The sequence below is a fragment of the Homo sapiens genome, chromosome 3 (assembly GCF_000001405.40).
Source record: "Homo sapiens chromosome 3, GRCh38.p14 Primary Assembly".
In the NCBI taxonomy this organism is placed as follows: domain Eukaryota; kingdom Metazoa; phylum Chordata; class Mammalia; order Primates; family Hominidae; genus Homo; species Homo sapiens.
Window position 1 is genome coordinate 32521948 of NC_000003.12, and position 15218 is coordinate 32537165.

At 37.0% G+C, this 15218-nt stretch overlaps 1 protein-coding gene across 3 annotated transcripts in view; it reads right to left on the reverse strand.

Annotated features, from left to right (window-relative positions):
• The window catches only part of DYNC1LI1 (dynein cytoplasmic 1 light intermediate chain 1), a 44885-nt gene continuing 33693 nt past the window's right edge, over positions 4027–15218 (reverse strand). For all 3 annotated transcript variants that reach the window (NM_001329135.2, NM_016141.4, XM_047448246.1), the window contains 8 exons: positions 15064–15157; positions 12564–12699; positions 11039–11150; positions 8514–8573; positions 8337–8381; positions 7593–7713; positions 6499–6654; positions 4027–4961 (listed from right to left, as the gene is read on the reverse strand). In NM_001329135.2, the coding sequence (NP_001316064.1) occupies positions 4852–4961; positions 6499–6654; positions 7593–7713; positions 8337–8381; positions 8514–8573; positions 11039–11150; positions 12564–12699; positions 15064–15157 (834 nt within the window). In that variant the 3' untranslated portion in view covers positions 4027–4851. The remainder of the gene's footprint in view (positions 4962–6498; positions 6655–7592; positions 7714–8336; positions 8382–8513; positions 8574–11038; positions 11151–12563; positions 12700–15063; positions 15158–15218) is intronic.

A 15218-nucleotide genomic window follows, 5' to 3' on the forward strand; every position in this document is an offset into this window, starting at 1 on the left:
AGCAGTAGAGCTGTGGGAGAAATGGTCACAGGGCAAACCACTGCCTCCCAAATTGGAGACAGACAGGTGACACAGAATCACAACTTACCGGAGCAGAAATCACTGGGCATACACCTCCATGGGAACCAGTACTGGGACAGAGGAATCTGAATTGTAATTGATGAATTGCCCAGAGGTTCAGTTTGGGTAAGTGTGTGAGTTAATAATTCTACAAACACCCAGTCATAAGAGGGTCCCCACACTTTGTGAGTTTTACCTCTAGGAGCTCTCCCAGGTTCTCACCGTGAAGATCAGAGTGAAGATTTCACCATGAAGATCTCTCGTGCTTCTGGCAAGGGAGGGGGAAAGTAACCATTTTGAAATATGCCAGAGCATTCTGTTCTTAACAAGGCCTGTCCTCAAGAAAAATGATTCTGCCACAGCCTTACCTGTTGAGGTTTTATCAGAGCCAAATCAACCTGGTGGAAGGGAAACACCTAACTCCAGCCCCTTCTAGACATCCTGTCCCACCTAAAGGGGGTGGGGGTACTGAAAAGCACTTGTGAAGTTTACATCCCAGGGGCACAGGCTTGCTAAAACTGAGACCTTATCATACAAATACAGAAAGCTTCCTCTCCCCCCATACCGCTAAATGACTACTTACCAGAGTTCCTTTTACTGTACATCATATCCAGCTGTTAATAAAAAAGTACGAAGCATACAAAAAACAGTTTGAAGACAGAGCAAGCATCAGAACCAGACTGGGATATAGCAGCGATGTTGGAATTATCAGACCATGAATTTAAAACAACTATGACTAATACGCTAAGGACTCTAGTGGAAAAAGTAGACAACATGCAAGAACAGATGGGTAATGTTAAGCAGAGAGGTGAAGTCTAAGAGCGTATCAAAAAGAAATGCTAGAGATTAAGAAAAAGCTAACAAAGAATGCCTTTGATGGGCTCACTAGCAGACTGGATTGAAGGAGAGAATCGCTAAGCTGAGGAAAGAATTGCTGAGCTGGAGGACACGTCAATAGCAACTTCCAAAACTGAAAAGCAAAGAAAAAACAGACACACACGCACACAAAGGAACAAAATGTGCAAGAACTGTGGGGCAAGTCCAAACGGTGTAACATGTAGATAATAGGCATACCAAGAGAAGAAAGGAACAAAATAAATATTTGAAGCAATGACTGAGAATTTCCCCAGATTAATGTTACACCAAACTACAGATCCATGAAGTTCAGGAAGCATTAAGAAAGATAAATGGGCTGGGTGCGGTGGCTCACACCTGTAATCCCAACACTTTGGGAGGTCGAGGCAAGAGGATTGCTTGAGCCCAGGAGTCTGAGACCAGCCTGAACAACACGGTGAAACCCTGTCTCCACGAACAATACAAAAATTAGCTGGGTGTGGTGGCGCATGCCTGTAGCCCCAGCTACTAGGGAGGCTGAGCTGGGAGGATTGCTTGAGCCTGGGAGGCAGAGGTTGTAGTGAGCCCTGATTGAGTCACTGCACTCCAGCCTGAGCAACAGAGTGAGAACTTGTCTCAAAAAATAAAATAAAATTAATAAAATAATAAAATAAAATGAAAAATAAATGAAAAAAAAAAACCCTACACCTAGGCATATCATATTCAAATTACAGAAAATTAAAGAAAAAGTCTTGAAAGAAGCCAGAGGAAAAAATATCCTCTAGAGGAGCAAACATAAGAAATTCATCTGATTCCTTTTCAGAAACAATGCAAGCAAGAGAGTGCAGTGAAATATTTAAAGTGTGGAGGGAGAGTATACGGAATTATTCAGGGGGGGCCAATTTAATCACTTCAGTCCTTACAACAGGGAGGCAGGGAGGTCAGAATGAAAGTGATGTGATGGATGCAGAGTTGAAGATGCTAGGCTGCTGGCTTTGGAGAAGGGGCCAAGAGCCAAAGAATGCAGGCAGCTTCTAGATGCCAGAAAGACAACAGATACTTGGCCGGGCGCGGTGGCTCACGCCTGTAATCCCAGCACTTTAGGAGGCGGAGGAGGGCGGATCATGAGGTCAGGAGATCAAGACCATCCTGGCTAACATGGTGAAACCCTGTATCTACTAAAAATACAAAAAATTAGCCGGGCGTGCTGGCGGGCGCCTGTAGACCCAGCTACTCGGGAGGCTGAGGCAGGAGAATGGCGTGAGCCTGGGAGGCGGAGCTTGCAGTAAGCCGAGATCGCACCACTGCACTCGAGACTGGGCAACAGGGCAAGACTCCGTCTCAAAAAAAAAAAAAAAAAAAAAAAAAAAGACAACAGATACTCTTCTAGAGCCTCAAAATAATAATAATAATAAAAAAAGCCAGCTCTGCTGACACTTCATTTTAACCAGGTGAGGCTTATTTTGGAATTTTAACCTCCAGCATGGTAAAATAATAAATTTGTAAGGTTTTAAGCAACCAAATCTGTGGTAATTTCCTGCAGTAACAGGAAATTAATACATACACATCTATAGCATAATAGATACTATATTTGCACAATGGAATAATATACTGCAGTAACTATTGATAAATGCAACAAAATGGATGAACCACAAACCTGATATTGAAAGATACCTGGCACTAAAATAATATTAACTCTGTAAGATTCAATTTTTATAAAGCTTAAAAATAAGCCAAACTTATCTGCATATTTGTAAGTTACGCAGTGGTTACTTGGTGGGTGGGGATACTGATTGAGGGGGCACACTCGAAGCTTCTGTAAGTGCTGGGTAATGTTCTGTTGCTTATTTTGGTGCTGGTTATATGTGGTCACTTTGTGATACTTCAAACCATACACTTGTACATTTTTTCTGTATTGTATACTTCAATAAAGTTTGCTTAAAAACAAAGTTTTAAAACAAATTTCCTTGCAAAAAATTGTACAAAAATAGGTTTCAGGTTTTGTTTTTTTTTTTGAGATGGAGTCTCACTGTCACTGGGGCTGAAGTGCAGTGGTGGGATCTCGGCTCACTGCAACCTCGGCCTCCCAGCTTCAAGCGATTCTCCTGCCTCAGCCTCCCAAGCAGCTGGGATTACAGGCGCCCACCACTATGCCCAGCTAATTTTTTGTATTTTTAGTAGAGACGGGGTTTCACCATGTTGGCCAGGCTGGTCTTGAACTGACCTCGTGATTTACCCGCCTCGGTCTCCCAAAGTGCTGGGATTACAGGCGTGAAGCTTTCAGATTTAAACATGATCTATGCAAGGTCTTAAGATTAAACTAAATCCCAGAGTGAACAATTACAGTAAACTGAAGTAACAACTCAATTAATTTCAAGGATTTTCTAGTACACATTCAATGTCTCACACACACAGAATGAGTTGGTTTATGCATGCAAACAAGGTAGCAGATATATCCAAGTACACCAAATACTGTCAGCAGTTTTCCTTTTTCCATTAGTTCCACTTACTTCATCGAGTACTGATTTAGAGAGAATCTACACCACCCTTTTTGCAGAACCCTTTCTGGACTAAAGATTTTATCACTGGCATTGTTTATCTCAAATATTTTATCAGATAAAATGTTTTCATAAATTTTTGTATGCCCATGAACACCATTTTATCCTCATATACATGCACGTGTGTATTCGTTTATCTCTTAGGTCAGAAAGCTTAATAATTATATTATTAATTAGGTCGAAAATTTTAAATTAGTCAGCCCTCTGTATCCGTGGGTTCCATATCCATGGATTGAACCAATCACAGAAGGAAAATATTTGAAAAAAAAGTTGCATCTAAACAGGCACTTTTTTTGTTATTTTCCTCTGAACAATACAGTATAAGTATATACATAGCATTTACAGTGAATTAGGTATTATCATCTAGAGATGATTTAAAGTAAACAGGAGGATGTGAATGTTATATGCAAATACTACACCATTTTATATCTGGGACTTGGGCATCTGTAGATTTTGGTACCTGAGGCAGGTCCTGGAACCAATCCCTCATGGATACCAAGGGATGACTGTACTAATGAATCTCATTTATTAGCTGACACATGTAAATTTAAACATAAGAGAATGCAACAAGTTATTTGAACCTGAATGCAGAGAATAAATACTTTATTAACTGATTACAGTTGAAAGTCACAAACAAAAAAGGGGGTATATTAAGGCAAAGCCATATATATATATATATATGTATAGACAAATCCAAAGATTGTTACTTCTTTACATTTTAATAACCTCTGCATTTTTCTTTTACACATTTAGGCAGTGTGCTTTCTTTTCTCCTCAGTTAAAGCAACACCTTGGCCAATATTTCTAAATCATATTTTGATGACAACTTACAGGATCAGTGATTGAGACAATGACTAGTGTATCAAACGCTATCTGATAGTTTTCTTAGCATATTCCGTGTGTGGTGGTACATTTATTGTGGTGTGCAAAATCTGACAACTGACGATTTTTCTCTGTCAGCAAAACTAACAAATTTTTAAAAATGATTTTAATAGTTATAACTAAAATAAGCTTAGACTTCCAAGTCAGTCAAATGCCCAAACTGCATGTTTTCTGCCGTTCCCCAAATCCTTTTACATGTTTTAAATAGCCTTTAGAATATGATCGATCACATGGCTGTATTTCAGATCTAAAAGTTTTGAGATTTTCAAAATCAAAAATTACTTTCTTATGCAAAATGGCAATGCAAACAGCAATCCTACATAATGTAGAATAATTTTTCTTCTGTACGGCTCCTTCTAAAAAATGGGTAACCACACACACACACACACACACACACGACATAAATTTAGTCCATCTGAAGAAGCACTCCAGCTTTCTAATTCCACTTTTGAAGGAAAAGGCAGAGGCATGTTTACATTATCCCAGAAAACAGAATAAATGGCTTTATTTGGTATCTTCAAGAAGCTTCTCCTTCCGTAGGAGATGTAGGTGTTGTGGGAGAAACTGTAACTGGTTTTCGTGTAATTCTGTCTAGTTCTGCATGAACATCTAAGACAGGCTTCTGGCCTACATTGAAGAAAAAGAAAAAAAACAAGATTTAGATATAAGTGAAAGTATCGTTTTCACCAATATCTCTTCATTTAAAAAGTCCTAACACTTTCATTAACTTTATTTAGCACACTAAGTTATACAAACAACACTTAATTTAAAAATTTCAAGCTGGGTGTGGTGGCTCACGCCTGTAATCTCAGCACTTTGGGAGGCCAAGGTGGGAGGATCACTTCAAGTCAGGAGTTCGAGACCAGCCCGGCCAACATGGTGAAACCCTGCTGTAATCCCAGCTACTTGGGAGGCTGAGGCAGGAGAACTGCTTGAACCCGGCAGGTGGAGGTTGCAGTGAGCTGAGATCACACCACTGCACTCCAACCTAGACAACAGAGTGAGACTCTGTCTAAAAAATAAAAATAATATAAATTTCAAGAAAAAACAAATTCCCTCATTTTAAATTGTGGATCTGTTACCAAATGGAGGTATAACTGGCACCTATCATTTAATCTCATAAAGGTTTTTTTTTTTAAGGCATAGGACAATAAGAACGGTAAAACAGAAAATAGCAACAAAAATGTAGCATCTAGAGAAGATGAATGAGTGGTAACAACAGATGACAATAAAAATGTGGCAAGGATATGGAGAAACGAACTTTCCTAACCTGCTGATGACAATTTAAAATGATACAGCATTTTGGAAAACATTTTGGCAGTCCTTCAAAACCTTTGTTTAAACCGAGTTACTACACAACCCAATAATTCCACTTAGGTATTTACCCAAGAGAATTACAAACAAATATCCACACAAAAACGGATGTTCAAAGCAGCACCATATTAATAATAGTCAAAAAGTAGATGAAACTCAGATGTCCATTACCCAGTAAACAGATAAATGAAATGTGGTATAGCCATATAATGAAATATTATTCAGCAATTAAAAAGGAATGAAGGCCAGGCATGGTGGCTCATGTCTGTAATCCCAGCACTTTGGGAGGCTGAGGTGGGAGGATCACTTGAGGCCAGGAATTCGAGACCAGCCTGGCCAACACGGTGAAACACCGTTTCTACTAAAAATACAAAAATTAGCCAGGCATGGTGGCAGGTGCCTGTGATCCCAGCTACTCAGGAGGCTGGGGCAGGAGACTCACTTGAACCCTGGAGGCGGAGGCTGCAGTATCGTGCCACTGCACTCCAGCCTGGGCAACAGAACAAGACTCCATCTCAAAAAAAAAAAAAAAAAAAAAAAAAAAAAAAAGAAATGAAATATTGATACATATTACAACATGTATGACCTTCAAAAACATTTGTTAAAGCCATACATTGTATGACTCCATTTACATGAAATGTCCAGATAGACAAATCCACAGAGGAAAGAGAGAAGGTTCAAGGTTTCTTTTGGGGAGATAAAAATGTTCTAAAATCAGATTATGGTGATGGCCTGCCCAACTTAGCAAAGATACCAAAACCACAGAATTATACACTTTACATGAGTGAACTTCATTATATCTCAAAAAAGCTGTTATTTTAAACAAGTGACTTGCTTCCCATAAGCATACCTGACTTTTTGGTGGATGGTGGTAAACCACTGCTTCCACCTCCAGCCCCACCTGCAGGGCTACCACCACTCACACCAGGGCCTCCTGGAGAGCCAGTCTTTTTACTCAACAAACTGTTGAAGAAATTTGCCAGAACGCCTTCACTTGTAGCTCCAGCTATAAAAAAATAAAAAAACAAAAAGCTTTAGCCAAAACATAAGATTCTTCCTTAAATTATTATTACAGTAATCACACATAGAAAATGAATAAACTTAAATTTTAAGAGTTTTATATTCCAAATTCAAGTCTAGTTTGATCTTTTGATGCTGAGTAATTTCTCTAATGAGTAAACTTTAAGTGTAAAATAATTATTTAAAAATTAGAATGTTATTTTTAAAAGGCCAAAGGTATTTTAAACAAAAAGATGTTATATACTAATATATATCTCCCTTTTGAAAAGGATTCTTTAAAAATAGAACTGTTGAGAAACTGCCTCAAGTATTAGGAAAAGTTACAGAATCCTATATGAAAACCGGTAGAAGTTGCCAGAGATAAATGGGCAAATGATAGCAATAAACAATTCACAGAAGAGAAACACAAATAGAAGGAAAACACTAGAGGAAAAACTCTTATTAGGTAGTATTTAAAGCATGTTAATTAGGTTGTGGTAAAACTGCAACACTCAATGTTGATGATAAGCAAAGTTGAATAATCATTTGAAAAAATATTATCCAAAGGCATAAAAACATAAACTCTTTGACCTACTAATCCCACTTATGGCAATTATTCCTACAGAAATAACTATTATGCATATAGTTTTTTCCTTTATGTTAATTGCAGATTACTTATTATAGTGTAAATGTGAATTTCTTCAATGATCTACCAGGAAATTGATTAAATATAACAAAACTTTTATCATGGAAATGATGATACATCACAAATACACTGTAAAATGGTTTACAATCTGGTTAACTATGAGATTATATATCCATAGAGACAAAGCCTAAAAGGTATTACACAAGAATGAAAATAGTTATGGCAAAAGGTGGAATTTTAGATAGATTTATTTCTCTTGTAAAATGTATTGTCTTGTTATCTCCTAGAAAGAGATGTACCTTTCATGTTTGGATCAATTTTTTTTGACCCAGCAGGAATGGGTGACACGCTGGCAACATTAGATGATACAGATCTATTTGGTGTTCGTGGGGAGCCTCCTGGGACTCTTGGTGAGGCATCCTATGTAAAAATAGGAAAATACAATTATAAAAACCTGAAACTTTCATTTTCACAAAAGTTATTATTGTAAAAAGAAATTACTTTGCAACTATCCCCTGTTCTACTGGTACTTTTACACTGCAAGCCATTGACAAAATTGTTAGCAATCCTGTCCTCATTATTAGAGAATGCCAGACAGAGGCCCATCACATTTTAACATACAAATTTTTCCTCTCATAGAAAATAAAGAACATATTGAGTGATGATGTATGGTTAGAAGCTTGGGAGTCAGACTTGGTTTCCAATCTGGACTTGTATTCTACTAGCTTTATAATCTCAGGCAAGCCACAACGTCCTCCCTAAGGTTCCCATTTCCTCATCTGCAAAATGGGGCTAATAACAGTCCTGCCTCATAAGGCGGTTGTGAGAATTTGTAAAATGACATATAAATGGCTGAGTATTGACACACAACAAATGTTACAAATAGATCTTTACACTTTTAAAATCTCACAAATTACAGAAGAATTCTGAATTCAAGTTTATATCAAAGCACACCCATATGAAATATGTACATAATTAATAAAAAATAACTAAAATAATATGTACTGCATTTTAATCATTTTGTCAAAATTTGTAATACTGACCACAGGCCTTCCAGCTGCAGTTGGTGGTTGCTTTGCTAAAAGGGACTGAAAAAAAAAAAAAAAAAGAATCCTAGTTTAGACATTCATAGCATATACTGGTGTATTTTTAAAGAAAATACACACAAGAACAGTTTACCCATTAACCATACTAAGTCTGCTTCTGATATAATTTCATACCTGTAGCTTCATAAGAAACACCTGATCATCTTCTGCCATAATTTCCTTCTCATGTACAAACTGAAATGAGCAATGCACAAATGAGCAAATTTAATATATTATGCTAACACAATTAATAATTTATTCTCTAGATTGGACTAATTAAAAAACAGTTCAAGAATTTGAACATTACCTATACTATATTTATATTCACATGCGTGAGCTGCCCTACCCAAGGCCTTCAGCAGAGGTGTCCAGTAACTAGCTACAGTTTTGGAAATATTCTATATCTGTGCTGTTCAATATGGCAGTCACTAGCCACCAGTGGCTACTGAGCACTTGAAATGTGGCTAGTGTGACTAAGGAAATGATTTTTAATTTTATCTAATTTTACATTTAAAAGGCATATGAGGCAAGTGGCTACCGTATTGAACAGCACAACCCTAGAGTCACAAGCATATTAATCATGCTTATAAAATTTGCTAAACAGCAGTTAGGGTGTTTTAAAAGGGCCAGTAATATCCTAGTTAAGTGAAATGCAACTTCTCCCTTGTTTCTCTGAAATAAAAATATAATGGCTCTTCTATGAGCTGAATAATTAGGAAAAGGAATTGCAGAAGTCTCCTGCTTCTATTCTTGCTGTATAACACATACCCAGTCTATTTTCTTCCCAGGAGCCAGTGATTCTTCTAAAAGGTTAAGTCAGATTACATCACTCCTCTGCTCAACCTCTCAATCTCTTTCCATCTAACTCAGAATGAAACCTAAAGTCCTTACTGTAGCCTAATGATAAAGACCCACAGTAACTTACTTCTGCCTCTCATCAACTAGCTTAACCTTCCCCACAGCTCTTTCCTGCCTCTGTCTTCCTCATACATTTCTGCCTCAGGGCATGTACACTTTTAGTTCCCCCTGCCTTCAGCATTCTCCCCCCTTTATCAAAGACCTTCCCCCATCATTCATATACAGCATCCCTCACAGCCCAGTCCCCTTGCTCACTCTCCCTACATCCTGCTTTATTTCTGTAGCACTTATCACTACTTGACAGATGTCTATGTATTGGTTTACTATAGGTATCACTCTCCTTCCCATTTAGCACTTAGAACCTAAACAGGGCCTGAGGTGATGCTCAATAAAAGAATGTGAAATATTTTTGCTATTTTATTTTTATGCATGCATTTCTTTTAATAGACATCCAAACCAAATACCACACCAACTGATTTTTCATTTGACCTTTTCTTATTACTAATAATAACCCACAAACAGAAGATGGATGCTTTATATTATGAGTGTTTGGATTCTGAAGACTCTTATATGCTAAATAAAAATTATTTTTTCTTGATATATATGTCAAGATTAAAGTCAGTCAGTGAGAACTACTACAAGTTGAGTATCCTTCATCCGAAATGCTTGCGACCAGAAGTGGAAGTGTTTCAGATTGCTGAATATTTGCATTAATACTTATCAGTTCAGCATCCGTAATCTGAAAATCCAAAATGTTTCAATAAGCATTTCCTTTTGAGAGTCATGTTGGAGCTCAAAGTGTTTCAGATTTTTGAGCATTTTGGATTTTCAGATTAGGGATAGTCAATTTATTTATGCAAATACTCATTTTTATAGAGCTTTCAGAAACATCTCTATCTATAGAACATTATACACTGCATGAAGTCAAGATATAGGAAAGCAGTGTATCTTCTGGGATCTGATTGGATAGATTGATATGTTAGAGTCGAGACTAAAACTGGGCCGGGTGCAGTGGCTCACACCTGTAATCCCAGCACTTTGGGAGGCCGAGGTGAGCGGATCATTTGAGGTCAGGAGTTCAAGACCAGCCTGGCCAACATGGTGAAACCCATTTCTACAAAAATACAAAAAAATTAGCTGGGCACGATGGTGGGTGCCTGTAATCCCAGCTACTCGGGAGGCTGAGGCGACAGAATCGCTTGAACCTGGGAGGCAGAGGTTGCAGTGAGCTGAGATCATGCCATTTTACTCCAGGCTGGGTAACACAGTGAGACTCCATCTCAAAAAAAAAAAAAAAATGTGTGTATATATATATATATATATAAAATTGAAAGTTCTTGGATAGCTGTGAGCTAATGTGGGTAACTAACTGGAGAGAAGATCCAAGACCTGCCTCAATAGATAGAACCAACAGAATTATTCTAGCAATGTTTTCTTGGCTCTTGGCCAAGCTCTAGGTTGGAAAGTTCACAGCTTCTACCTATTCAAACTCTGTAAGATCCACATATTCACTCATGCCAATCTGATTTCCAAAGCACTATATTAGAATGTGGATTCTGCACTAACAATTGCTAATATAAATATGCCAAGGGCGAAGATTTAATTAGCTGAATAGCTGATTTCTATTTTGCTAAAACAAATCCTTATGTAAACTGTACATTAGAAACACACCAAAATTATACTTAGAAACCCTCCAGATGGAAAAGGACATTTTTGCCTTTCTACATTTAATTTTAAAGTATGGAATTCCCCTCAGGTTAGTCTAAAGTCTAAATATTGAGATTATTTACTAAAATGGTTACCTTTCGAACAGGTGGTTTAGTTATGATGTCTTCAAAATTATCTTCTGCTTTTAATGTTTGAAAATTTTCATGTAATATTCCTATTTTCTTATCATTATCCCACCCTGCTGGACTGGAAAGAAATACATATGATAAATTCTCAAGCATTTATATAGTCATTCTTTCATTCAGTCCAAGATCATGTAAAAGGAATACTTTCATGAAGTCAATTTGAACAATTATGGAAAACGAATTAGCTTTTCATTATGATGTCCACGTTTTACTAATTTCTACTTAAAATGAAAGCCTGGGCAACATGCCAAAACACCATCTCTACAAAAAATAAAAAAGAAAAAAAATTAGCTGGGCATGCATGGTGGCATGCACCTGTAGTCCCAGCTACTTAGGAGGTTGAGACAGGAGAATCGCTTGAGCCTGGGAGGCAGGAGCTGAAGTGAGCCGAGATCGCACCATTGCATTCCAGGATGGGCAACAGGAGTGAGACCCTGTCTCAAAAAAGATTACCAATATTAAAAATGTCATTAGTGTTAACTTGGGGGAAGGGGGCAGTAATTATTACCTCCCAATTTTATACGGTTACCTTTTTTTTTTTTTTTTTGAGACAGAGTCTTGCTTTGTTGCCCAGGTTGGAGTACAGTGGCTCAACCATGGCTCACTGCAGCCTCTGTCTCCCAGGCTCAAGTGATCCTCCCACCTCAGCCTCCCAAGTAGCTGAACCACAGGTGTGTACCACATCTGGCTGATTTTTAAATTACTGGTAGAGATGGGGTCTCACGATGTTGCTCAGGCTAGTCTTGGGCTCTTGGGCTCAAATAATCCTTCCACCTCAGCCTCCCAAAGTGCTGGGATTTTAGGCATGAGCCACTGCACCTGGACTATTCAGGTAACTTTCTTTTTTTTTTTTTTTTTGAAATGGAGTCTCGATCTGTCACCTAAGCTGGAGTGAAGTGGTGCGATTTCGGTTCACTGCAACTTCTGCCTCCCAGGTTCAAGTAATTCTTGTGCCTCAGCCTCCCAAGTAGCTGGGACTACAGGTGTGCACCACCACACCCGGGCTAATTTTTGTATTTTTCATTAGAGAGGGGGTTTCGCCATGTTGGCCAGGCTTGTCTCGAACTCCTGACATCAGGTGATCTGCTCTTGGCCTCCCAAAGTGCTGGGATTAGAAGCGTGAGCCACCGTGCTCAGCCAGGTAATTTTTAAAAGCATGTCTAGATCTCATATTTGGTCATTTATGTATCATAATCAATTAAAGAATAAGCAGATACAATACACTAATATAGGCACCCAGTAGACAGTTTAGCTCAAAAACCTTTGAAAAAGGGCTCAGGCCAGCAGTAAATCTAAAAGGCAATAATAGATAAATCAAGACAGGTTATAAACAAAAAACAATCTAGGAACAGATAGATTCTCACTTTCTCATCATGGAAGGTCTATTGGTCCCATCTCAAAACTGAAATAATGATTCACCATCAAATAGTAGCAATAATACATGATAAAATTATATATTTAAGAGTACACTTACATAAATACTGCATCCTTTTCCACAACAACAGCAGGAATCTTATAGGGAAATCCATATAGTTTCTGAACGATGTATTTATATACTAAGTCTATATTTTTGTTTTCTTTTACTGAAGTGTAAATAAGTGCTGCACCATCTGAATAATATGGTTAAAGAAAAATTCTGGACAAATGTCATGAGCAAATACCATAAAATTCTGTGTTTTCAGCTTAACTTTTATTTCTATGCATTTTAGTTTCAGAAATAACTCCAAAGGTATATTATATGGTAATCAAGAACTTCAAAAGTAAAAAATACTACCTTCATATGGGCTACAATTAATAAAAGAATTTTTACATAATCAATTTAACTTAGGAAGGCAGAAGTCTCATTAAGACAAGAAGTAAAGGTAAATCTAGAAATACTGACACCATGACTACTTCTATATTTAAAGCACATGAAAGGACAATTTTTATGTTTTAACTTTCCTAAACTTCATAGAGGGGATATTATTTATCAACAGCTGTTTTGTTTGCCTTTTCAACAAAAATGGTGTGTTAACAGTGTCTCTTTGTAGTTTTTACAAAACCCAGGAATTAAAGACTTCAGGGATAAGGCTCAGGAGACTCACTGGAGAGAGCAAAAGAAACCCAATGTTGAAAGGTGAGCCAGCAGGTACCAATTAGGAAGCTTTCAGGAATAACCCAAGGCAAAAGCACATTTCATGACAAAACTTGAAATAACACAACCTCACATCAAGATGTATTAAAGCAGAGCCTAACTTTGACCTTTTATCCAAAAGACACAGTGGATGTAAATATTAAGACATCCATGGACAATGTGACCACTGACAGATGATGGATTCAGAGTGGCTATCAGAAATTCTATGACCATCCACATTCTAGCACTGGCCCTTGTTTCTCCAAGGGAGATGGTGACCTAGGCCAAGGGGGAAATGCTGGGAGTACAGTCTAACTTCTTAACTGGGATACTCATATTTTCTGGGACATGACCTGAGGCTTATAAACCTAAAAGCAGTATTGCTAAATACAACTTACTAAACTTACTTTGATACGAAACTTTAACATGGTAGAGACAAACATAATCTTAGGCAAAAGTTTAACTGTATTAACTTTGCATTAATGCTCTTCCCCACAATGAAAACCAAATTATGATAATTTGGAAGATTTCTGTAACTGAAAAACTTACATTGCAATTAAAAATTTAATAAAATAAAGGTGATTTTGAACTGTCACTGTCACTGATAAATACATACCTCATTATCTTGAGATGACTTCTCACATTTTGTATTCTTTTAAAATCAACTGGCTCTAATGGTCTCTATTTTGGTAGAAAGCTTCCTTTCTGATTACATTTCTGTACTTACATTTTTAAGTATAGCATTAAATAAATGATTAAAGAGACTGTTTACTCTCAAATTTTCTAATCCCCAAAGATAACATAAAAAAGAGGCTACAGATACCTACACTACAATTACCCTCACTTTTTATTTTATTTTTGAAGACACTATGGTAGACTAGTACCCTTTAACTCAACCAACTCAGCCATTTGGTGACATGAGAAGAGAAAGGCCCATAAAGAGAAAGAACTGAAGAGAAAAGGGGAAAGGGAAACTATCAGTGTCAAGTGATCTTATTCAGGCTTTCTTTAAGTGGTCCTTAAATTAAACGCCCACTAATGAAAATGATTTATAATTTGTAGACACCATAAACGTGTGTATTACTCATTACTATCTATTCCTAATAATCATTTCATTATGTTTCAGACTCAAAAACTTTGGCTGGGGAATGCAACTGCAAAATATCTGATCCAAGAGGGTTGGTGAGTTTACTCTTCAGTGCATTCAAGGTGTAACTAAGTTTTCAACAGTAAAGTCTCTAAAAAGTACTCACTTTTAACCTTCATTTTCTCCCTATTTTAGCTGTAATTATTACTCACTGGCTCACCTAATCCTTGCAATCTAGATTAACAAGACTTTCTATGATAGATTTTCCAGGAAGGTTTCTAAAGTTTAGATGATTCTCCAGCCTCACTTTGGAATACTCCAATCCAATATGTCTAGATAGGCAGAGCCAGATTTTGAAACCACTGTTAGGCTATATGTGGAGAAGATGACAACACACTAAACAAATTAAAAATGAAAACACAAAAAACACAATACTGACCTTGTCCTACCACCCACCAATAAATACAGTTTTTTAATCAGATATGTTCATAACTACATACAGCTTACTAGACTTTTCCACATACAATTGGTAATTATTTTTCTTAAGCATACTTTAAACACAGCAAATCAAAGTAACATACTTCAATATTTGCTTTTCTATCTCAAAATATCCAAATGTAAATAATTTGGGAACTAAAATGAAATTTCCAACCAGAGACAGAAGGAGAAATGTTTACAGAATTTCTCAAGTCCATCAATTTAATTCTTTTAACTTTAAAAAACTAAAACAGGTAAAGTGATACACTGAATCAATAAATGTATTTAAAAGGATACACTGTAAACAAAACTTCCGGATATGTGACTGAATAAAATCAAAATGTTCATCTCTGTAGTCATGTTCTTTCTCCAATACACTAATGGCATCACACTGTTAAGTTAAAATAATTAAAAATAATACATTTAAAATAATCATAACTAAATATAGTAAT